This window comes from Homo sapiens, chromosome 17 (genome assembly GCF_000001405.40).
Source record: "Homo sapiens chromosome 17, GRCh38.p14 Primary Assembly".
NCBI classification, from domain to species: Eukaryota; Metazoa; Chordata; class Mammalia; order Primates; family Hominidae; genus Homo; species Homo sapiens.
The window spans coordinates 29,822,264-29,846,132 of record NC_000017.11 but is presented as its reverse complement, the minus strand read 5'-3'; the positions used below and the strand labels follow the sequence as shown (position 1 = coordinate 29,846,132).

At 40.9% G+C, this 23,869-nt stretch overlaps 1 protein-coding gene and 1 long non-coding RNA gene across 10 annotated transcripts in view; both read left to right on the top strand.

Annotated features, from left to right (window-relative positions):
* SSH2 (slingshot protein phosphatase 2) overlaps window positions 1-23,869 on the top strand; it is a 304,291-nt gene that overhangs the window by 84,096 nt on the left and 196,326 nt on the right. The window lies entirely within an intron of this gene.
* LOC124900390 (uncharacterized) lies at window positions 10,330-22,975 on the top strand. Its single transcript, XR_007065694.1, has 2 exons — window positions 10,330-10,662; window positions 18,419-22,975. It is a non-coding gene; the product is annotated as an uncharacterized LOC124900390 (long non-coding RNA).

Sequence of the window (23,869 nt, the reverse complement as noted above, 5' to 3'; positions counted from 1 at the left end):
CAGAAGGTGGAGGTTGCAGTGAGCCAAGATTGCACCACTGCACTCCAGCCTGGGCAACAGAGCAAGACTCCATCTCAAAAAAAAAAAAAAAATTGTTCAGTTTGCAGTGGAGTCCTCTGGACTTATTATACTGGCATATTATTTCGACTGATTTTGTCTCAAAGAGACTAGTGCATGGGAATCTACATGAAGAATATTTTCATGAAGTTGGACGCGTGGGGAAAAGGTAACTTTAGTTTTAATGGTTTTTCTCCCTTAGAAACAATTAGTTGGGGCCAGGCACGGTGGGTCATGCCTGTAATCCCAACACTTTCGGAGGCCAAGGCAAAAGGATCACTTGAGCCCAGGAGTTCAAGAGCAGCCTGGGAAATACAGCGAGACCCTGTCTCTACAGAAAATAAAACAATTAGCCGGGCATGGTGGCACATACTTGTAGTCCTAGCTACTTGGGAGGCTAAGGCGGAAGGATATGCCATTGCACTCCAGCCTGGACAGCAGAGTCAGACTCTGTCTCCAAAAAAAATAAAGAGAAACAATTAGTTGGGTATATGTATTTATAGATTACTCTGGGTTGCTTTATTTTATTGCCAAGCCTTTCATTCATTTAAGTCAGATTTGTTGTCGTCTTTTCCTCAAGAGGCAAAAGTTGTTTCATGTACTTGGCTGGCTTTTTAAAGGTGTTAGATCCTCCTCCTGTTTTGTTTTTTCAGGGAGTATTTCCCACACCTTTTTTTCCCCCTTTTCTCACTTCCCTGTTCCCACCCCCATGTCAAATGGAATTGAAGAGCTTCTTTGTAATTTGAAGCCTTAACCTTGGGGGTGGGGTGGGGGGCAGTTATTTGCAGAGCAAAATGATTGAAATCTCCATTACTTAGTTTTCTGCAAAGGAAGTGGTATGGGATCTTGATAAGTATTTGAAGTAGAAATACTGATGTAAAGAAGAAGAGTAGAAGATAAAGTCAATCGTCGAAGAACTTTCTCTTCAATTTTGGGATAACAGAAGTATGAACTTTGGTTAGTTTTATTCATTCATTTGCTTCTGCATAATTCATTCATTCACCAAGTATTGATTGACTCATGTGCAAATCACTGGGCCCAGGGGAGTAGGGGCCCTTAGAGAAAGTATAATCTACACTTCACAAATTAGTTTTATGGCTATTCGTGGAAAGCCCTGAAAAGGAAAGGAGAAAATCATTACATGCAGTATGTGGGAAGAAGAGAAGAAATCTGGATAAGTGGAAATAAATTTGGCTGGAGGCCAATTTGGCTGGAGGGCTGGCTGCCTTAGATCTCTTGGGGCTTTCCTGGAAGAGAAGGCAGGAGTGCAGAGAGGCCCCTGCCCCTTTTCTGATCCCACTCAGTCTCCAGGAAACCAGATAATAGATAGAAGCAGCTACTTGCTCCCTCTACTGTGCACAGGTTTGTTAGAGGTCTCCATAATGGGGAGAGGATCTGTCTGCCCCCAGAGAAAGGTAACAGTGTGACTGGAAGAAGTCACAGAGAAAGAAGATACTGGCTTTAGCTGCAGGAGTTTCACCTTGGCTTCAGATAAGAAGGAATGTAGGCAGTGACTAGAGCAGGTTGGGATGCTAGTGACTGCAACAGGCACTGAGACTCCTGAGGCTTCTCTTCATTTCCCTCTCCTGTACCCACTGCTATCCTACCTAAAAGGAGGAAGAAGCTCTGGATGAGCTGGGATTCCAATTATTGTGCTTATGGGTGGTCTCCTAGGAACAACTGGATTCATTTACCATTGTAGGGCTATTTCTTCCCCAGCCTGGTGGTCAGGAAAATATTTGTTATATTAGTTTATTTCCTAAAAATAAAACTTATTTATCTCATTTCCCTGGTCTTCTCACCCCAACCCCTACCCAACCAAACAGGCAGAAGGTCATATATAGAATAGTCATACTATTTTTATGGTCTGTTTCATTCCTTTGCTTGGTTTGTTATATTCTTGAAGGATATAATATTATATTCTGTGCAATCAGAAAAAAGCTTTTATGTTTGAATAGCCCAGTGAAAGGAAGAGATGTTAGCCTTTTGTGTTATTAAAGAAAAGAAAAAGCCACCCCCTAGAATCAAATGTGGAAAAGGCAGATGCAAAGAAAGTCTAAAATGTAAGAATTATTTGGTTTAGAATATTTTTACATTTTTAGACTATAGATCTGCATTCTCTTCTAGGGAAGGACAGTGTCTCAGAATACAATATCCTTGTTGATAATCAGCTTCTATGGGATTTTTAACATGGAGTCATTTGGGGAGTGGAAAAATGGCTTGAGAGAGAGAGAAGATTTAGCCTAATAGTAAGTTCAAGATGAAGGATTTAAGAATTTTTAAAAGTTATCAACATTAGGGTAAACCCTAATTCAAGGCCTGATGTGGAGTAGCCAGTCCTTATAGATTGAAGATAGAAAGGACTTCAATTCTCAGGGTTCTTCTGAGATATCCTGTTCTTGTATGTTTTAAGTTTTGGAATGTAGTGTATTGGAACGATGAAAACAATGGTTAGCTCAGAAAGGAAAACTACACTTAGGAGGGGGAAACTGCTATAGTAATTTTTTTTTTTTTTTCTTGAGACTGAGTCTCCCTCTGTCACCCAGGCTGGAGTGCAGTGGCACGATCTCAGTTCACTGCAGCCTCTACCTCCTGGATTCAAGCGATTCTCATGCCTCAGTCTCTTGAGTAGCTGGGACTACAGGCATGCACCACCCATGCCTGGCTAATTTTTTTTATTTTTAACAATTATTTTTTATTTGTAGTGGAGATGGGGTTTCGCCATATTGGCCAGGCTGGTCTCGAACTCCTGACCTTAAGTGATCTGCCCACCTCAGCCTCCCAAAGTGTTGGAATTACAAGTGTGAGCCACCGCGCCCAGCCTGCTATAGTAATTAAATCTACTTTTGTAAATCTCTAGAGATTATAAGCAAAAACAAGATAGTAGTGGATGAACATCCAGATACAACAACAAACTGGTTAGCTGGAAGGTGGGGATGGTGTTTAAGCCTACAGCAAGCACGTCCTGTCATTCCTGATAATTTGTATTTACTCTCTTCGTTTCTGCTATCTGTACCATGTGTATTTTCTGTTTATTTTTTCAGACTCATTTGCAGAACACCTTTCAGTAGCCAACATACACAAATAGAAAAAGGGGGGAAAAAGGGAAATTTGGTGCTAAGAAGATGAGTTTTATTATGAGTTTCAAATGGCCAGTTGGCCAATAGCAAACAGCTGCCCCACAGGAGTTTAGGATTACTTGAATTGTTTCTGCATCACCTCTGCTGCATTGTAGAGAGATTGTTAGGGCCCATCGTCAGAAAAAAGATAAAAAAAGTGTTGCTAGTGGCAAACATAGTTTTACCATGAACAATATCCTTATTTTTTACTTTGGAAGGGGTCTGATGCAAATTTACACTAATAGGAATGTGATGTTAAACTTATTTTGTTCCAGGTTAAGATGTAAGAAAGCATAGCTCAATGATTTTATCCCAGAATAATTATTATGAGAAATAATTTTCTTTTAAAAATCTTACGCTCTTGAGTGACATTTGAGGAGAAATAAGATTTGTAGTAATCTTGGGTACAAAGGCTATTTTTGAAATTAGCCTTATTTAACTCAGTGGTTCTCATTGTGGCTGCCCATTAGAATCACCTGATGATCTTTTTTTTTTTTTTTTTTGACACTGAGTCTCACTCTGTCGCCCAGGCTGGAGTGCAGTGGCGTGATCTCGGCTCACTGCAACCTGCGCCTCCCAGGTTCAAGAGATGCTCCTGCCTCAGCCTCCCAAGTATCTGGGATTATAGGTGCCTGCCATGACACTCAGCTAATTTTTGTATTTTTAGTAGAGACAGGGTTTCGTCATGTTAGCCAGGCTGGTCTTGAACTCCTGACCTCAGGTGACCCACCTGCCTCGGCCTCCCAGAGTGCTGGGGTTATAGGCATGAGCCACTGCGCCTGGCTGTGATGATCTTTTAAATTAATAACAGGGTCTCCTCCAGTTAAATCAGGATCTCTGTGAGTAGGGCCCAGGTATTGGTATTTTTTTAAATGCTTCCAGGATTATTCTAATATGAATCAAGGGTTAAGAACACTGGTTTGGGCTGGGGACAGTGGTGCACACCTGTAATCCCAGCACTTTGGGAGGCTGAGGCGGGAGGATCGCTTAAGCTCAGGAATTCAAGACCAGCCTGGGCAACAAAGCAAAACTCTGTCTCTACAAAAAAAAAAAAAAAAAAAAAATTAGCCAAGGGGGTGGTGTACTCCTATAGTCCCAGCTACTCGGGAAGCAGAGATGGGACGATCACTTGAGCCCAGAAGGTTGAGGCTGTAGTGAGCCAGGACTATGCCACTGCACTCCAGCCTGGGTGACAGAATGAGACCCTGTCTCAAGAAAAGAAAAAACAGAAAAAGAACACTGGTTTAACTCTAGCTATGCTAATTTTTGCACCTCCATATTAGAAATCTAATCTGCAACATTTGTAACATTGTAACATCTATTCCTTGAGCAGCAGGATAAAATGTGAGATAGACTACAATTTTTTAAGAGTTGGCTGTATGCATTTGATTACTCAGGTACAACACAATTAACTTACATTCTTTCTATTCAGTGAAATTCCTTGGCTAGTCTTCTGTTAAAAGCAAGATACTGAAATGAGATAATCCAAATCTAGTATAAATTTAAGTCAGTGAAGGGTAAAGTTTTCCATGTCTTTTCCATAAGGTATAAAGGGTATAAAGACTTATTCTTCCTGTGTCAACATTGCTAGGGAGCTAGAGTAAAGAAAAAATAATTAAAGATCACTTTATACTTTGTGTTTTATACTTTTACTGAAGTAAAATATACATACAGAAAAGTGTACTTATCTTGTGCTTTTATGTATAACAATGAATTTTCACAAACTGATGTTTTCACAAACACAGGTCAATCATGAAGTAAGTAACCTGTACCTAGATCAGGAAATGGAATATTACAACTCCTCAGTACTATTTCCCCCTTTGCCAATCCCTCCTTGCTCCTTTCAGTCACTACTGACTCACCCTCCCAGCCATCATACACCAGGAATAACCACTTTCCTGACTTCTTGACCATGTGATTTTGATGTGGCTATCAGGCTATGCTTTTTAGAGGGCTCTCTCAGACTTTCAGAATCAGAGAGAGGGCTCAGCATCATGTAGTAGTTAAAGAGCTCAAGTTGAAGGTTCAGACAATCTGGGTCAGAGCCCAGCTTCACCACTTACTGACTGTGACTTCACTCTAAGCCTCATTTCCCCTATCTATAAAATGGGAATAATAATAGTACCTATCCCATGGAGTTGTTAGAATTAAATGAGATAACTTATGTAAAGTGCTTAGAGGGCCTGGCGCATTATCTGTGCCAAGTAGAGAGCAGGGCAGATGCAGGATTCCCTCATGTCACCAGCTCTTCAACAGAGTCAAGGCAGTGCCACTGTTGTCTGCAGACATAATGAAGTTCATACTTCAGCTCTGGAGAAAAAGAAGAAGAAAAAGTGGGCATCCTGACCATCTTCCATTTTCTTCACCATCCCTAATTTGGCTTGTGGCTTGGCTAACTTGTGACAACTTCTAAAATATATTATTTAAGTACATGAAATGGCTATTGAAAGGCCAAAAATATTCTCTTAGACATCTTTATATTATCAATAGCTCTTAGCACAGTGATTTAATTGTAAATTGCACATAGTTGATGCCTTGGCTAAAGGAATCTAAAATGATACTTCAGACACACCATGCTCTCCTGTGCTGGATTTGTATTGGTCTAGGCTCCTGATCCCTCTTTTTACCAGAGTTGTATTTTTGAAACATCTGGCATGTTTCAAAGAATGCAGAAAGTGGCAGTGAAACAATTTGTAGGCAGAAACAAGGAGCCTCGGCCAAATTTGCAAAATTAACCAAATAAAAGCTCCAACTAGTTGAGTTATCTTGCTTCCATAATCTGAGGCAGGTCCTGCTGAGGTATATTTTCCTCTTATTTTGGTTTGGGAGAGCAAGCAAAACAGGAGGAGTTGTAGGTTTTCTCAGATTTTTAAGATTATAGCTTGGGAAAAATTTACCCTTTGGAAAGGGTGGGGTGAGGGGAAGGACCCCTTACTATGAGTACTTACCATGTGACACCCATTGTACTAAATGCTTTTTATACAGTTTAGTGTTGAATCCAAGTCTTTGAGGCAAATACTTTTAGTAGTCCCTGTTTAAAGGTGAGGAACCAGGCTTGCTTAAGGTATGTGACCATGCTGGTAGTGACAGCTAAGTCTGCCTGACACTCCCAGCCGGTGCTCTTTAACTTATGCTGGATTGCCTTTGCCCTTGAATGTAATGTTGTTATTCTGGTGCTAGGAGGTCAGGGTCAAATGCAGTAGTGATTCTCAACTCTAGTTTTATACAAGAATAATCTATAGAGTTTATTTTAAAAATATAGAAACTTAAGTCTCACTTTAGGAAGTTTCTTGTTCAGTAGGTCTTAAATGAGACCTGACATATTTCTTCTTCACAAAGGTCCATAGGTGATTGTGTGCCAGAGTTGAAAATCACAATTCTCAGAAATTCACTAGTGGGGAATTATAAGATTACAGATTTGGGGGCATCTGAAGACTGAATTTGGAATATTGTAAAGATACACTGTTATTGGAAGTACAGGGAAGGAAGAGTTAGCTTAATAATCAAGTTTCCTATTTCAGGAGGTAATGTTACAGCATCCTTGGGGTGTTGCTTTGCCAGCCAGAAACCTCTGTGGCCAATGGCGCCTTTGCCCAACTTTTGCTCTGGCCTGCTGGGCTCATTCCACCCACTCGGCCTGGCAGGTTACACATTACCGGCCTGGATCCCATACCTGCCAAGGGCGAGCCAGGCATGGGGTGGCGAGGGGTGTGTAAGCAAGGGTCCAGCCACTGTGCACAGCCAGGCACACTGGCTGCAATGGGAGAGGCAGAGCCTGATCTTTTGGCTTGGTATGACATCAGCCCCTGTTGCCATGGTGATGGAAGCCTGGCATACCATAAGCAGCCAGCTTCCACGGCTGACACTGGGGAACGTGATGGCTCCTGGAAGCTTAGAGATGCCAGGAACCACAGATCCCTAAAGAGGGTGTCACAACCCTGGCTCATTGAGCTCCTAGGTCTGGGTTCCCCAAAGGGCCACAGCTCTTCTCTCCTTATTGTCTTCTTTCCCTATTGTCGCCTGCAACATGGTGAGCAAAGGGCACGTTTCAGCCCTGTTTGTGTTACAGCTCTTTTAGCCCCGCCATTCGGCAGGTCCCGAATTCTTGTCCTGTGTCCAGGAAGAGTGAGGTATGCAGACAAGTGGAGGGTGTGCAAGGTGAAGAGATGCTTTATTGAGCGATAGAACAGCTCAGAGGAGACCCACAGTGGGTAGCTCCTCTCCATAGCCAGGGTGTTGTTCAGCTCTCAGCAGAGAGGGTGGCCCCTCTCTGCTAGGCAGGTCATCCCGATGAGTGTTCAGCTCCAACAGAGAGGGTAACTCCTCTCTACAGGCAGATCATCCCGTCCTCTCTTCTGGTCTGGCTGAGTCCGGGGCTTTTCATGGGCCTCAGAGGGAAGGAAGTGCATGCCAGTTGGTTCATGAGTGGACGTGGGCAGCCCAGAAAAAGCACTACAAATTCCCACTGCAGTCTGCGGGACCAGCAGCCTGGCCTCCATGCTTCAGGTCCTTCGTGGCTTGCAGGTGGGACTTCACCAGGGACTGACCATTGTCTGCCTAGGAGTCTGCCTGCTTCCTGCTTCCATTCATGGTGCCCAGGCTGTTCATGCCAAGGGGCACCTGCAGGCCAACACCAAGCTGCCCTTGGCCTGCCCCCTCAGCCTCCATCTCATGCTTGTCAGTGACCAAACCCAGTGTGTGGAGGGGACCAGGGTGCCAGGGGGCTGGCATGTCAGTGCTGCCTTGAGCATGCATACACGTGGCTGGGTTGCACCAGTGCCCAGGCTCAGCTTCAGCTTTGCTCCATGATCAGAGTGGGCACCAACAGCCAGGAGAAGCCAGACAGTGAGAGTAGGCACTTCCAAGCCTGCTGGGGAAGGAGGGACCTTCCTGGGCCCTCAAAAGTATAGAGATGCCTGGGTCTGCAGCCGAGGTTTGGGCAGCTGCAGCTATGCCTGGGAGGGCAGGGCTCCCGCCTGCTCCAGGCTCCCAAGAGCACAGGGGTGCCCAGGTTGCAGCCAGAGCTTGTGCAGCTGCAGTTGTGCCTGGGGAGCTCCCACCCTGCCAGCTTGCAAGGGGCAGGGCTTCTGCTTTTCCCCAGCTCCCCCCAGCTCCATGGAGTGCGCAGCCCTGGCCATGCCTCCTCTTTGCGTTTCCCTCACAGTGGCAGCGGGCAAGATGCAGGTGGCACAGTGGCCCCAGCCAACCCTGTGCAAACAAACCTGATGCTCCTGGGACCAGCCCTGCAAGTCTTGGCTGTGTCTTTGGCTGGGTTCTCACAGGCTCCTGGGATGTGGCAGGGAGCAAGATTGAGGCCACAGCAGAGGCTCTGGGCCTGGGAGAGTGGGTCCTGACCAGCCGTGCGAGGGTGGGGGTGGTGCAGTTGGCTGCCTCGGGGACATGGGCCACAGGGGTCCCACCGCCACCACTGCTGCTCCCATAGCTGCTCCTGCTGCCACCACCCATGCCTCCCCACTACAGCTGGCAGCTACAATGGATAGCCCACTGCTGCCACCAGTAAGATGGTATCTATCACTGGAAATTGGATATTACTGGGGTGTTTTATAGCCAGATTAATTTTTTCCTTTCTTTCCGTGAATTTCTAGAGTGCTGCCACTATTGTACTCAAGCACAATCTTTCTCAACCCTAGTTTGCTATCTAAGATGTCTATTTTCTTACTTTTTTTTTTTTTTTGAGACAGAGTCTCACTCTGTTGCGTCACCTAGGCTGGAGTGCAGTGGCATGATCTTGGCTCACTGCAACCTCTGCCTCCCAGGTTCAAGTGATTCTCCTGCCTCAGCCTCCCAAGTAGCTGGGACTACAGGTGCTTGCCACCACACCTGGCTAATTTTTGTATTTTTAGTAGAGAATGGGTTTCACTATGTTGGCCAGGCTGGTCTTGAACTCCTGACCTCAAGTGATCCGCCCTCCTCGGCCTCCCAAAGTGCTGAGATTATAGGCATGAGCCACCACGCCCAGCCTAAGATGTCTATTTTCTTAGTGCTGAATGTAAAGTCCTGGTGAAGCTGTAATTTCAAAGCTATTAGGCAAGAAGTGTTAACCTTGTAGAGAGCAATGGATGACCCCGGTTAAGACAAATGTCATGAGAGTTGTAAATTTAACAAATTCTTAATCTCAGTGGATCCTGTCTGCTGAGTCACTCCTAATGCCTTTTGTATATTTTCTGTAATCTCAACAGTGTGCTTTGGCAGTAGAAAAGCGGTAGTAATTTTTCCTCTCACTTTATAATTAGAAAAGTAGAGTTACAAAGGCCATGACTTGCTGTTAAAACCACAAATAACTGAAAAGATGGCTAACATTTCTTGAGCACTACCATGTGCCTGGTTAGTAAAAACAAATGTTAGTACGTACGTTATTTCACATTACATTTCTGATGTCAGTAGTATTTATCCCTGTTCTAGAAGAGATATTCTTGTTTTCTGAGTTTTGAGAAAACTGAGCTTATTTATTCCACAATTATTTAAGTCTACTCTGTGGCAGGCACAGAGCACTAGGCAATGGGTATTCAGTGATGAACAAAGCAAACTCTGCCCTTATGGAATTTACAGTCCATCGGGGAAGACACAATAAAAAACATAAATATTCAATTACAGAATATGATAATGTTATGAAAAATTCAAATGGAAAAACGATGATAAGATTTATCATTTAGATAAAGGATGTTCAAGAAGGGCCTCTCTAACGTGGTGATATATTTAAGGGATTTGCTTAGGATCACACATCTATTAAGTGATAAAGTTCAAGTCTGATTTCCAAGGCTATGCTCACCATGCCATTTTGCCTGTCAGATATGTACTTGGAATCCACCCCAGGGTTGTGACTCACATCTCTGGTCATATAAGCATTCATACCATGACACTGTACCAAATTTTCAGAAGAGGCATTATAAAATTTATAAATAATAAAATTATTAATAATAATAATTCTTTCAAAAGAAACCTGTCTCCTAAAATGCTTCCTTTTTTTTTTTTTTTTTGAGACGAAGTCTTGCTCTATCGCCCAGGCTGGAGTGCAGTGGCGTGATCTCAGCTCACTGCAAGCCCCGCCTCCTGGGTTCACGCCATTCTCCTGTGACTACAGTCGCCCACCACCACGCCTAGCTAATTTTTTTGTATTTTTAGTAGAGATAGGGTAAAATGTTTCTTTAAGGAGAGCCCAGGAGGCAGCAGGGACAAGGGAAAGAGAAGAAAGGGCTATAAACAGTATATGAATTTCAATAAATTATAGAGAGAGACACAGCTCCAAAGAAGCTGAAAATCTGCTCTAGCTGCACTAGGTGCATTTGCATGAGGAAGTGCCCTCCTATCATGCATGAGCTGGGGCTGGAAATTCCACTTTGGATCAACATCTTACTTCCTGGTCTTACTTGAACTGAATTTGCAGGGCCTGGTCCAGGAGCTGAGCAGAAGACTGCTCATGGAGGAACCTGACTACGAAGTGTCAGATGATGGTTAGATCCTTAAGGTATCTGGAAAGAATGTGGGTGAAAGGGAAACTGTTCTTGGGAAGGGAAAGGACCAATGTGAACAATGAAATACAACCTTGAATTTGAATGCTATGGTCTTCTTCTGAGTCCAGTGCAATGCCGTTTTGGCTAAGTTTTTTTTGTTGTTGTTTTTGTTTTAGGGTTTTCCAACAGAGTTCTTCTGAAATGCCCTTTGCTCCAAAAGAATCTGTCCACTTATTCTTTTTGCCCCAAAGAAATAACAGCAGTTCTTAGGCTAGTCAGATTCTGTAGAAGTGTGATGCAGTTTTTCTGATTCTGGATTATAAACCTGCTTAGATTTGAATAATGCCTAGTGGGAATTTCTGTTTGGAAAGGTTTCATATACCATAGTCATATATGCATCTTACCTGATGATTGGTTGTAAAGATTATAGATTGACTTGATCCTGGCAATCTGACATTTTAGTCAAGAGTTATAATAATGATCAAATGCTTTGACCCAGAAATCTAACTCTTGAATATTTCCTCTGAGGAAATTATATTTTTTAAAAAGGATATGTACTAAAATTTTAATGAATATTTTAGTAATGAGAGGAGGGAATGGTTAAGTAAACTATGGTAATATAGTGAAGCCATTAAAGTGAAAAACTTAATTAAAACTATATAGTTCCATGAGAAATTGTATAATTAATATTAAATGAATGGAAAAAAATTAAGTTGCCTCTCTACCTCACTCTGTGACAAAATATAGATGGATCTGAGAATTAAGTGTAAAAAATTTGACACCACAAGGAAGATCATGTAGGAGAATTTTTTTATAATCTTAGAGTAGGGAGGATCTTTTTATGACACAAAACCCAGAAACAATAAAAGAAAACATTGCTAAATTCAAGTACATAAAGTCAAAAAATCTACATTAAAAGATCTTATAAACAAAGTCAAAACCACAGGTTGGGAAAAAGACTTTCAACACATGACAAAGAGCTATTTTCTATAATACATAATGTGTTCTATAATATTTTTAGATTTTTAATATTTATGTATACATAGTAGGTATATATATTTATGGGATAAATGAGGTATTTTGATACTGGCATACAATGTGTAATAATCACACCAGGGTAAATGGGGTTTCAATCACGTCAAGCATTCATCATTTCTTTGTTACCTGCCAATTCAATGTGATATCAGACTTATTTTTATCTTTGCCTGTTTGAGAGGTAAAAACAATGTATTAGATATGAGAACTATTGAATATTTTTTTCAAATGTTGAGGAGCCATTTGTATATCTTTTTCTTCTGTGAAAGTCATTTAACTTCTTTTGTGTATTTTTCTATTGTGTTTCTGATATTTAAAAAATATTATATCAAGTTAATTTGTCATCAGTTTAAAATAACGGGTTACAAGATATTATTTGCAACCTTCATGGGTAACCTCAAAGCAAAAAACCTACAATAGATACACAAAAAACATAAAGCAAGACATTAAAACATAACATCAAAGAAAATAACTTTCAAAAAAGGGAGGGTAGGAAGGGAAGGAGGCAGGGAGGGAGGGAGGGAAGGAGGCAGGGAGGGAGGGAAGGAAGGAAGGGAGGGAGAGAGGGAGGGAGGGAAGGAGAAAGGGAGGGAGGGAGGGAAGGAGAAAGGGAGGGAGGGAAGGAAGGAAGGGAGGGAGAGAGGGAGGGAGGGAAGGAGAAAGGGAGGGAGGGAGGGAAGGAGAAAGGGAGGGAGGAAAGAAGGAAGGGAGGGAAGTAGGGAGGGAGGGAAGGAGGGAAAGAGAGGGAGGGAAGGAAGGGAGGGAGGGAGGAAGGAAAGAAGGAAGGAAGGAAGGAAGGAAGGAAAAAAAAACAGAAAACAAATAACAAAATGACAACAGTAAGTCCTTACTTATCAATATTAACATTGAATGTAAATGGACTAAACTCTGCAATCAAAAGACATAGAATAACCAAATAGAGAAAAAACAAGATCTAATGATCTGTTGCCTATAAGAAACACACTTCACCTATAAAGACACATATAGACTAAAGATAAAGGAATGGAAAAAGATATTCCATGCCAATGGAAACCAAAAAAGAGCAAGGGTAGCTATACTTATATCAGATAAAATAGATTTCAAGACAAAAACTATAGAGACAAAGAGGACTATTATATAATGATAAAGGAATTAATTCAGCAAGAGGATATAACAATTGTAAATATATATGCACCCAACATTGGAGCACTCAGATATATAAAGCAAATATTATTAGAGTGAAAGAGAGAGATGAACCCCAATACAATAATAGTTGGATACTTCATCATTCCACTTTCAATATTGGAAAGATCATCCAGACAGAAAATCAAAGAAACAGCAGACCTAATCTGCACTATAGACCAAATGGAACTAATAGATATTTACAGAACATTTCTTCCAATGGCTACAGAATACACATTTTTTCTCAGCATATGGAGCATTCTCAAGAACAGACCATATGTTAGACCACAAAACCAGTCTTAACAAAGTAAAAGAAAAAAATGGCTGGGCTCTGTGGCTTACACCTGTAATCCCAGCACTTTGGGAGGCCGAGGCAGGTGGATCACCTGAGGCCAGGAGTTCAAGACCAGCCTGGCCAACATGGTAAAACTCTGTCTCTACTAAAAACACAAAAATTATCTGGGTGTGGTGGTGCACACCTGTGATCCCAGCTGCTCGGGAGGCTGAGGCACAAGGATCGCTTGAACCTGGGGGAAGTTGCAGTGAGCTGAGATCATGCCACTGTACTCCAGCCTGGGCAGTAGGGTAAGACTGTCTCAAAAAAAGAAAAGAAAAAACTGGAAAACCAAAAAAAATTGAAATCAAGTATCTTCTCTGACCACAATGGAATAAAACTAGAAATCAGTAACAAGAGGACCTGTGGAAACTATATAAATACATGGAAATTAAACAGTATGCTCCTGAATGACCAGCAGGTCAATGAAGCAGTTAAGAAAGAAATTTTAAAATTTCTTGAAACAAATGGGTAGAACAAAATTTTATAGCCATCATTCATTTATTCAAACATTACTTAAAGGAAAAACAGGGCCAGGCTCACGCCTATAATCCCAGCACTTTGGGAGGCCAAGGCAGGAGGATCACTTGGGTGCAGGACTTCAAGATCAGCCTAAGCAGCATAGGGAGACTCCATCTCTACCAGAAATTTAAAAAATTAGCTGGGTATGGTGATTCCAGCTACTCAGGAGGCTAAGGTGGGAGGATCCCTTGAGTCCAGGAATTCAAGGCTGCAATGAGCTGTGATAGCACCACTGCACCCTCACCTGGGCAACAGAGCGAGACCCCATGTCAAAAAAAACAGAAGATAGCTTTTATCCTCAAATGCTCAAAGCCTAGAAAGACAGATTTATAAGTAAAATGATTGAAATACAGTGTGGTAAGTACAGTAATAGAGAAAATGTGTATAATAGGTACAGTTGCGGCACAAGAAGAGAATAGTCCATTCCTTGCCAAATTTGAAAAATGAGCAAAACTTACATATACGCTCTGATTACAACTACATAAAAACTATATATAAATAAATAACAAAAGAAGAATGAAAACACACAAGAGGCCTTAAGTATAAACAGTTGCAGCTGAGCACAGTGGCTTACACCTGTAATCTCAGCACTTTGGGAGGCCGAGGCTGGTAGATCACCTGAGGCCAGGAGTTGGAGACAGCCTCGCCAACATGGCGAAACCCCGTCTCTACCACAAATACAAAAAAAAAAAACTTAGCTGGGCGTGGTGGCACATGCCTGTAATCCCAGCTATTCAGGAGGCTGAAGCAGAAGAATCACTTGAACCCAGGAGGCAGAGGTTGCAGTGAGCCGAAATCGCACCATTGCACTTGAGCAACAAGAGCAAGACTCCATCTTAAAAAAAAAAAAAAAAAAAGATAAACAGTTGCATTCTGGTAGTGAGATGGCAAGAAGTGTCAAAGTTGTTTTATTGGTATCTTACAGTGAAAATTTTTAAAATTCACTTTAGACTTAAAAATAAGCTGGGATTCTTTGGAGTCTTACATCTAGATTAGCGTCTCTTATTTGTAATCTTAAAGATGAAAATATAGGAAATACTGTATTTGCCCTAAGTTAATACAGGAGAGAAAGAGGTTTTTATCACACACATCCTTTTACCTTTCCCCTCCTCAATTTAAGTCTGAATCTCTGCAGGCTACTGTGAAGAGCCTTGGAACTGAGTAGCGTATAGGTTATGTCTGCAGACGTGTTCAATGTCCTTTGGGGGAGGTTTCTTTCTACATGTAACTGCTTTTTTCCTTCTCAAATTTCTTTAACAGTAGCAGACCCTCACCCGGGTCTGCTAGATGCCTTAAAGGTGAGCTGCAAAGCAGCCACGACTATATCAAACAATTCTGGCACCCAGAATTTATGGCTTATCCTGTTATGAGCTCCATATAACAAGTAAAAATTAAAATCCACTGGCACGTTAATCAAATGTAATGTTGCTGTGTAGTAATAATTTAAATTCTACTATGCAAAGTTATGCCCAGGACTTATGATCAGCCTCCATCTCTCATTGTCATGCATTAAAGCACTACTGCTTCATTTCCTTTCCCATTTGTGGTTTCCACTAGTCTGGTTCTACATCTCTATCTTGAACTAATTAAACTGGCTCAGACTGGAGCAGCTATACCAGGCATAATACCAAGAGGAGAGCAGAACTGGCCTGGGTACTCCTTCACTGACTGTATTTACTCTTTCTTGCCTGACCCCTATGTCTTAAGGGCATGTCCTTAGCTCCCATTTCTTATGTATATTATTACCTTTCACTCATTTATTCTTTTAACCAATATGTGCTGAGTACCTCCTATGTGCTAGACACTGCAGTGGTTGCTGAGGATATGGTGGTGCATGTGATAAACCATAAACATGATTCTTCCCTTTGAAACTTATACTCTAGTGGAGAAAGGTGGGATTAAACAGCTAATTATGCAGTGAAATTTTAAATTATGATCAATTCTGCAAATCGGAAAGTATACAATACTATGAGAATATAGCAATCAGGGACCTAACCTGGCTTGGGGGAAAAAGTGATGTTAAGGTTCATGGTCAAGGGAAAGCTTTCTTGGGGAAATGGTATTTTGAGTTGTACTCTAATGATGAGTTGAAGTCAACCAGGGAAAAGTTAGGTGGGGAAGACACGAATTAAAAACTTACAGATCAGGAAACTGGCACATTCAAGGAACTGACAGAAGGTCAGTAAGGCTGGAACAAAGAAAATAAGGGAGAAAATAACTCAAGCTGGTGCTGATAAAGTCAGCAAAAGGCCAGATGCTGCAGCCTTATAAACTAAGTCAAAAATCTTGATCTTGGCTAGGTGCGGTGGCTCACACCTCTAATCCCAGCACTTTGGGAGGCCGAGGCGGAAGGGTCACCAGGTCAGGAGATCAAGACCATCCTGGCTAACACAGTGAAACCCCATCTCTACTAAAAATACAAAAAATTAGCCAGGTGAGGTGGCGGGCACCTGTAGTCCCAGCTACTCGGGAGGCTGAGGCAGGAGAATGGCATGAACCTAGGAGGCGGAGCTTGCAGTGAACCGAGATTGCACCACTGCACTCCAGCCTGGGCGATAGAGCGAGACTCTGTCTCAAAAAAAAAAAAAAAAAAAATCTTGATCTTTATTTCTTGGACAACAAAAAGCCACTGAAGAGTTTTCAGCTGGGGAGTGACCAGGTTGAGATTTTTTAAAAATATTTGCCTGTCTTTGCTATGGAGAATGGGCTTCTATATGAGCACAACTATTTCCCCAGCAATCAGTACAATGTCTAGCACATAGGAGGTACTCTGTACATATTGGTTAAAAGAAGAATAAATGAGTGATAGGTAACGTATACACAATAAATGGAAGCTAAAGTCATACCCTGAAGAAAGAGGTCAGGCAAGGAAATGTGAATACAGCAGCGAAGGAAGAACCCAGGCTCCCTTCTTCCCTCTCTCCTCTCTCCATATATATATGTACAGACACACACACACACACACACAAGCCATCGACAGTTGGGGCTTCATATCCCTGTGATTTAGTTTGGTTAACTCACTTGTCAGGGAATGGAGCTCTTAATAAAAGGGAAGTTGGCAGAATAGTAGTATGGTGTTATGGTGTGGTGGTAAGGAATGTATATGACCCTAGTTAAGTTACTTTTCTTCTGTCTTAATTTCTTCATCCAAGGAATGGAAATGATAAATAGTATACCTACCTTGGAGGGAGGATTAGTGTGAAGATTAAATGAGATAATGGTTGCAGAGCACTTCGACTAAGGCCTGGCACATTGTTAGCCTTTAATAAACAGCCACTATTACAGTCTAACAATCTCATGAAAGGTTCAGATGTCCCTCTGAGATCCACCCACTTTTTGTGGCTCATGGAATAGCACTCCATTCATGGGTCACATGTGGACTTGTCTAGCCTACACTAATGGACTTTAGGACTCTAGTCTCAAATGGTACAGAAACATGTATATGGTTTAATTTTACAAATGTCATTTGGAGATGGAAATGGAAGCAGAAGGGTTGCTTACTTTAACGCCACTGGGGTTTTGCTTTGAAGCTGGCTTTTCACAAACACCAATGAAAAGGTTCTGTCACTTGCAGGAAATGACAGAATGTAGTTAGTTGCTTGGAAATGTCTGTGTGTCTTTGTTTCCCACAATACTAGGTAACGTCTGTAATTATACTGCTGAACAAAGCTTCAGGTTGATCAAGGTTAATTGTTGATAGTATTTGAAATGTTAATAATGTCTCCCCAAAAACTGCTTTACCAAAATAGATTGTTCTAGCTTCACAAAGGATTTAAATACCATTGATTTATTTCATTCAGCAATATGTAATTCTAGGCCTGGAAACTGGGATCTTCTGATTTAATATTTTCTAAGGAATTGGTACCCAGAAAATGTGTATTCTCTTCTGCTTTAAAGTTTGGCAAATCACTTGCTTCCAGGGATTCTCACTGTCTTTAGCCTTTTCTCTAAAACACACATTTCTGCTTTTGATCCATTTTTGTGGAACTAGGAAGAGGGGTTAAAGCATGCCATCTTTCTGTAGGAGTCCTAGGGAGTTTTGAGTGGTTGGGAATCTATTCTAAAAGTTCACAGTAGATTCAGACCCTGCTGAGAAAGTCTTTACTTTGTATTTAAATTTGTTGTGTAGCTTAAGAAGATAAAAGAGCAGGATTCTTAAGGGGGTTTTGCTGCCAAGTGCTACGAAAGGAAAAATTAAAAGTTTCTTGTGTAGTCAATGAGAGTTCATTGCAATCAAGATCACTTACTGAATTTGTTAAAGACTTCCTGTGATGGCAGGGTTCACAGATGATCAATAATTCTGTTTTTGTAAATACAGGTGAGTTTTGTATCTTATCCTTTATCTAGTCTAACATGATGGCTCTACCTCCATGGCTGCCTTTTCTGTTACTTAGTTCTCTAAGTGAAGAACCAAAAGCATCAGCTAAATTGTTCTAGTAATTAGGAGAGTGTTAGGAATTGGCTAGAAATACAGCTTAACCCAGCTATGGCAGGAAGGTAAGCAGAGGTTCTATCATATGTAATTATCCTCTTTAAAATGGTTAAGAAATGTATTAGATAGCATTACTACTAAAACCTAAGGCTTATATTGATTTAGAAAAACATTCACATTACAGATATTGTAGCTATGCTGGGGTTTTTTTTTTTTCTGTACTCATTCATTCTATTTATTTTTTCCCTAAATTATTTCTTCATTGTTTTGTGTTTGTCCTTTCCAGCTTCAAAAAGCTATACTGAGGGATATGCCAAGTCATAATGCATATTACCTGGAACTTCCTGGAAACCAAGCATTTTATTCCTGTGGAAATGTGTTTAGCCAAGTTTTAGAAGAATGACAAAGTGAGAAAACCAAATTTATTTTTATTGCTGTTGACTATTACTTAAAATAGGAAAAGGAGCTTAATTCTTGGGCTTCTTTATCACTAACTTAGTATGTTCCAAGCACTGTTCTAGTTGCTTGAGATACAAAAACAAAAATTGCTGTCCTTCTGAAGTTAGTAATCTGATGCCTGTTACCATTTCACCCTCTGCCCCTGCCAAGGAAACAATCAAACTGGGATTTAAATCCTAGCACTACTATATGCTGTCTGTGACTGGGAAGTCATTTATCTTCTTTGAGCCTTTTACTAGTAAGAAGCCTGGTAATCATGTTGCCATTTTATCATTTATATAAGCATCTCAAGAATAATTTGTTAGCAGTTCATTCTGCAAGAGGGAATTTCCTTGTAACTTGCTTGGATTTGTACTCAGAAGTGCCTTATGCAAAATAAGTTAAAGAAGTTTTGTCCCAGCATTTACCCATATGTGTTCCCTAGTGTGTATTTTTACAATTGACCTGGCTTAACATCAGCAACAATTTGTAGTATGACACCAAGACTACATAGGTTTATATTTATGGAATTTAGTCTCATACATGTCATCAGAGTTGAGGGGAATGATGAAGGAAATGAAAAAGTCGAGCTCTCTTGGTAGGTAGCTGCTACCTTTTGGTATAGTCTTCATCTTTTCCTTTTGGGAACTGTGTCTACTTTACTCCATCTGATTCTGGTAGGGCTGAGAATCACTCGGCCTTGCTTTTCTACCACTGGATGGTCATATGTCCATAGACCCATGTCAGGCTGGTCAATCAAAGCACTCCTCTTCCCTGGATATTATGGTGGCACATGACCCAAGCAGGGCCACTGTCATTTTGAGAGATGGATATAGGTCTCTCTGGAGGTAAAAAGGGTTAATTTTTTTCTGGACTCTGATTAAAAGGATGATATATGCTTAGTGTGGTAGGTGGTCATCTTACCACCACACAGAGACAGTCTACCTAAGAATAAGAAGAAAGCAAAGTCAAAGAGAAAGAGTGGAAAATAAAGACCTAATAACATCAATGCATTTCTGAATCCCTGTTGAATTTACCAGTTAAATAAACTACTATGTTTTTTGTTTCTCTTGAGTCAGATTGCTTGCAACTGAAAGCATCTTGTATAATACAATATCCTTATCTATGATTGTAGTCATCGTTTGCATTTGTCAATATTTTTGGTTCTCCTTCTCCATACTGGTAGGATTATGTTTCCTTGGGAACTGACATGGTCATGTGACTGTTTCGGCAAACAAAATATAAGTGGTTTTTGTCACTTCTAGGTGGAAGCTTTTAAGTCTTAAGAGCTGTTGCATAATTCATTATATTCCATTTTCCCTGTCACAGTGACCAGTCAAGATGAGAGAGAACAACATGGAACAGAATATCCACCAACCTAGGATGGACATGTAACATAAATGAGAAACTGTTGTTTTCAGTCACTAAGATTTTGATGCTTTGTGTTTTTGCAGCCCCTCTGACTAATACCTGTATGGAATACATTGTTCTATATTAAATTTTTCTAAACACTTCAGGTGAAAAAATATCTTAATATAACATCTAAAAACATGAATGTCTACAGAATTAGGTTATTAAAATATTTAATATATGTAGCTATTCTTGTTCAGAATTAAGAGTAGGCCAGAGGTAAGCAGCAGTATTTCCTGGTTTACCATACAGGAACTAAACCTGCTTTTAGGGCTGTGACCTCTGACCAAATTATAGTTTGCCTTGTTTCGTATCATGTGGCAGGACAAAGTCTATAATGACAGGTGTTTAAAACTCAGACACTATGTAAGCACTCTAGCCTTGCCCATAACAATTCCTCTTATGTGGGCAGGACAATGATGGCGTCTTCCGACCAGGCCTTGCTATCTGAAAATAGAGAAATGTTTCAAGGACAGATTAAACAAAAGCCTGATTTGCAGCCATGTAGTATCAGTATTGAGGCCTTGAAATTAACAGCCCTTGTCAGATAACCATCAAGGAAGGTCCCTCTAGTCTTCAAAGTAAGTATATACTACAGACAGCAGTGAGCTCTGTGGGCATGAACATCCTCTTTAAGCCATGTTAGAGTATTACGGGCAATGCCATTTGTTCATGCCACATAAAACATGTCATCTTTTCTCCCACTTCTGCAATCCTGGACTTCAAAGGCAATGTATTAAATTTTTTTACTGAAATTTTATGGAATATTTTGCTAAATATTTGTATAATTATTATAATCTTTGTATTGGATTCTCCAGCTTACATGAAGGATAGCATATTCTCATGGGCAGAACATACTAACCTGTCATTTAACCTTTGGGTACTTTAATTTCTCTGCCTCTAAAAGGAAATAAACATTTCTCTTCCTCTCCTACTTCTCCTTGATTGTGCACATAGGAAAATGTGGTATATAATGTATTTGTCAGGACTATTGATTGAGAGTAATAGAAACTGTCCGTAGGAAAATAAAGATTTGTTGGTTCATGTAACTGGGAAGTGTAAGGGATAAATTTAAGGTATGACTGGATTCAGGGCATCAAATTATTTCATCGAGGTAATCTCTCTTCACCACATACCTCTGCTTTTTTCTATGTTGGTTTCATTTTTGTACAGGCCCTCCCTATAAGGCAATGAAAAAAACAGCCATCTATAACTCTAGTTGTACATTTTATCAGCTAAGCCACCCTAATGGAAAGATATCTTTTTCTTCAGTAGTTCTAGCTGGAGAATACAAAAGGATGGTTCCCTGCAAGAAAATAAGTTATTATCAGAAGAGGAATTGATGGGGCAGGCAAAAACAACAAATGTTCATTACATATAAATTCAAAGTTGTAAAGTGTACAGCTATGCTACAGGCACAGTTGTCTGTAGCAGACACAGCAGGTTGAATACCCTATATCCATTCTCTACTGCCATTCCTAAAAACTCGGTTTTGTTCAGGTTGGTAGGTATCCATTTCCTCCAGGTAGCCGAATACCTCAAGGGAAACTGACCAAGCCCTATCCCATGAATCCTGATTAGACCCAGCCAGTCAGAGGGTGCCATCCCCTTGCCAGAGGTTGGCTTAGGCATGAGCATGTGATCCACTTCAGGGCAGTGAAATGAGAGGGGAAGCTTGGGAGTCTGGGAGGCTTCTGGGACAATTTTCCTTGCACTTAAAAAGACACAGGGGAGGGTCTGTTTTTCTCAGGGCCTGTTGGGGATGTATGTGATGAACCTTGACTGTGGCAGTCATCGTGATGCCATATTAGCCTGAGAGCAATGCTGACACAATCAGGATGGCATAGCACAAAGATAGGGAAACTGCATCTTTGATAAAGTTCAGCCACTGAAGTAACCAACTGTGGTCCTTTTGTTATGTAAGATGATAGTTTTCCTTATTTAAGGCATGTTCAGGTAGTTTTGTTTTTGTTTTTGTTTTTACCACTTGTGACTGAAAAATATCATGACTAGTAAGTAGAGATGTTGTGGGTTCCTCAGTCATGAAAGAAGCTCTTAGAGGGCTATATAGTTCCACTAGACCTAGAACAGTGCCTTGTACATAGTTGAAGCTCAGTTGTCTTTATTTGTATTTGTAATTTAAGCACTAAAAAATAAAACACCTTTCTTCTGTAGCAATTCAGTATAAAAGCCTTTAGATGGGATTAAACAAAATAGATGTCTTTGAGTGGGCAGCAAGGCCCAGTGTGGAATTTTTTTTTTTTTTTTTTTTTTGAGACAGAGTCTCACTCTGTTGTCCAGGCTGGAGTGCAATGGCATGATCTCGGTTCACTGCAACCTCTGGCTCCTGGGTTCAAGCAATTCTCCTACTTCAGCCTCCCGAGTAGCTGGGATTACAGGAACGCGTCACCACACTCAGCTAATTTTTGTATTTTTAGTAGCAATGGGGTTTCGCCATGTTGGCCAGGCTGGTCTGGAACCGCTAACCTCAAAGTGATCTGCCCACCTTGGCCTCCCAAAGTGCTGGGATTACAGGCATGAGACCGCACCCGACCCCAGTGTGGAATATTGGTGCCCAAGTGGGTTAGGAGGGCATCCGCATGGGGGAGGTACCCTGGAGTTCGATGTTAGAGCCTAAGCAGGGTGAGGGAGTTACTGCAGAGAGAAGGGATTAGAGGGTGGCCCAATGTGGGGTGTTAGAGCTGGAGGAATGTAAGGAAGGCATCATCCACACAGAGGAACATTAGCCCAGTGCAAGGGTCAAAGCCTGAGGTGGGTGAAGAAAATACCTGCTTTATACTGTTCTGGAAATTCTTCTATAAGTTTGTAATCATATGTACCCAAAATGTACCTGTATTTCATTTTGTAAACTGTCACAAAATTAATATTTCCAATGCCTCATATGTTTTTAAAAAATATGAAACTATTATTTATTTGAATATATTACATGAAACTCCTCAAAGACATCTCTGATTAAAGCAACTTTGCCATCACAGAAAGTCAGTTTATTTTCTATAATGTATATATTTTACTAATTATAATCTATACTGCCTTTCATCTATATAGATGTTTTTTATTTTAATTTTCAGTGGAATAGAACTAAAGAAGTTTATTTTTTCACAACTGTTCTCTGGTACTCTTTTTAGGTTTCAAATGCAATCTGATAAAAATTGTATTTTGAGGAAAAAATATCAGGCACACTGCTATCCCTCCCAAACTCTTTGAGTTTTGTAAACAAAATTTTCAGTTCACCACTAATACTGACACCACAGCACAGTACAGTGAATTCACTTTGCAGATGTGATTAGGTAGTGAAGATTATCCCTACCTTATTAGTGATAAATATGGTCAGTCTTAGCTCCCATCGTGATATTTGCGTAGAACTAGAGCCAGGAAAGCCAAGAGTACTGTCCGTTAAAGTTGCTTTTGTGGAAATAGGAATTGGAGGAAACTAGGACCAGAAGAAAGGAAAGTTTAAGAGTCCCTGGCTCAGCTGGATGAGGTGGCTCACATCTGTATTCCCAGCACTTTGGGAGGCTGAGGTGGGAGGATCACTTGAGCCCAGGAGTTCAAGACCAGCCTGGGAAACATGGCAAGATTCCGTCTCTACAAAAAATTTAAAAATGAGCCAGGCGTAGTGATACACGCCTGTAGTCCCAGCTACTTGGGAGGCTGAGGCAGGGGGATACCTTGAGTCCAGGAATTCGAGGCAGCAGAGAGCTATGATTGTGCCACTGTACCCCAGCCTAGGTGACGGAGTGCGACCTCATCTCAGAAAGAAAAAAAAAAGGGTCCCTGGCTCATACGAAGTTTTTTTCAATGATTATATGACATCATTTTAACAGTAGATTCTCATATCTAGAAATATCTTTTCATATCTTAAAATTTG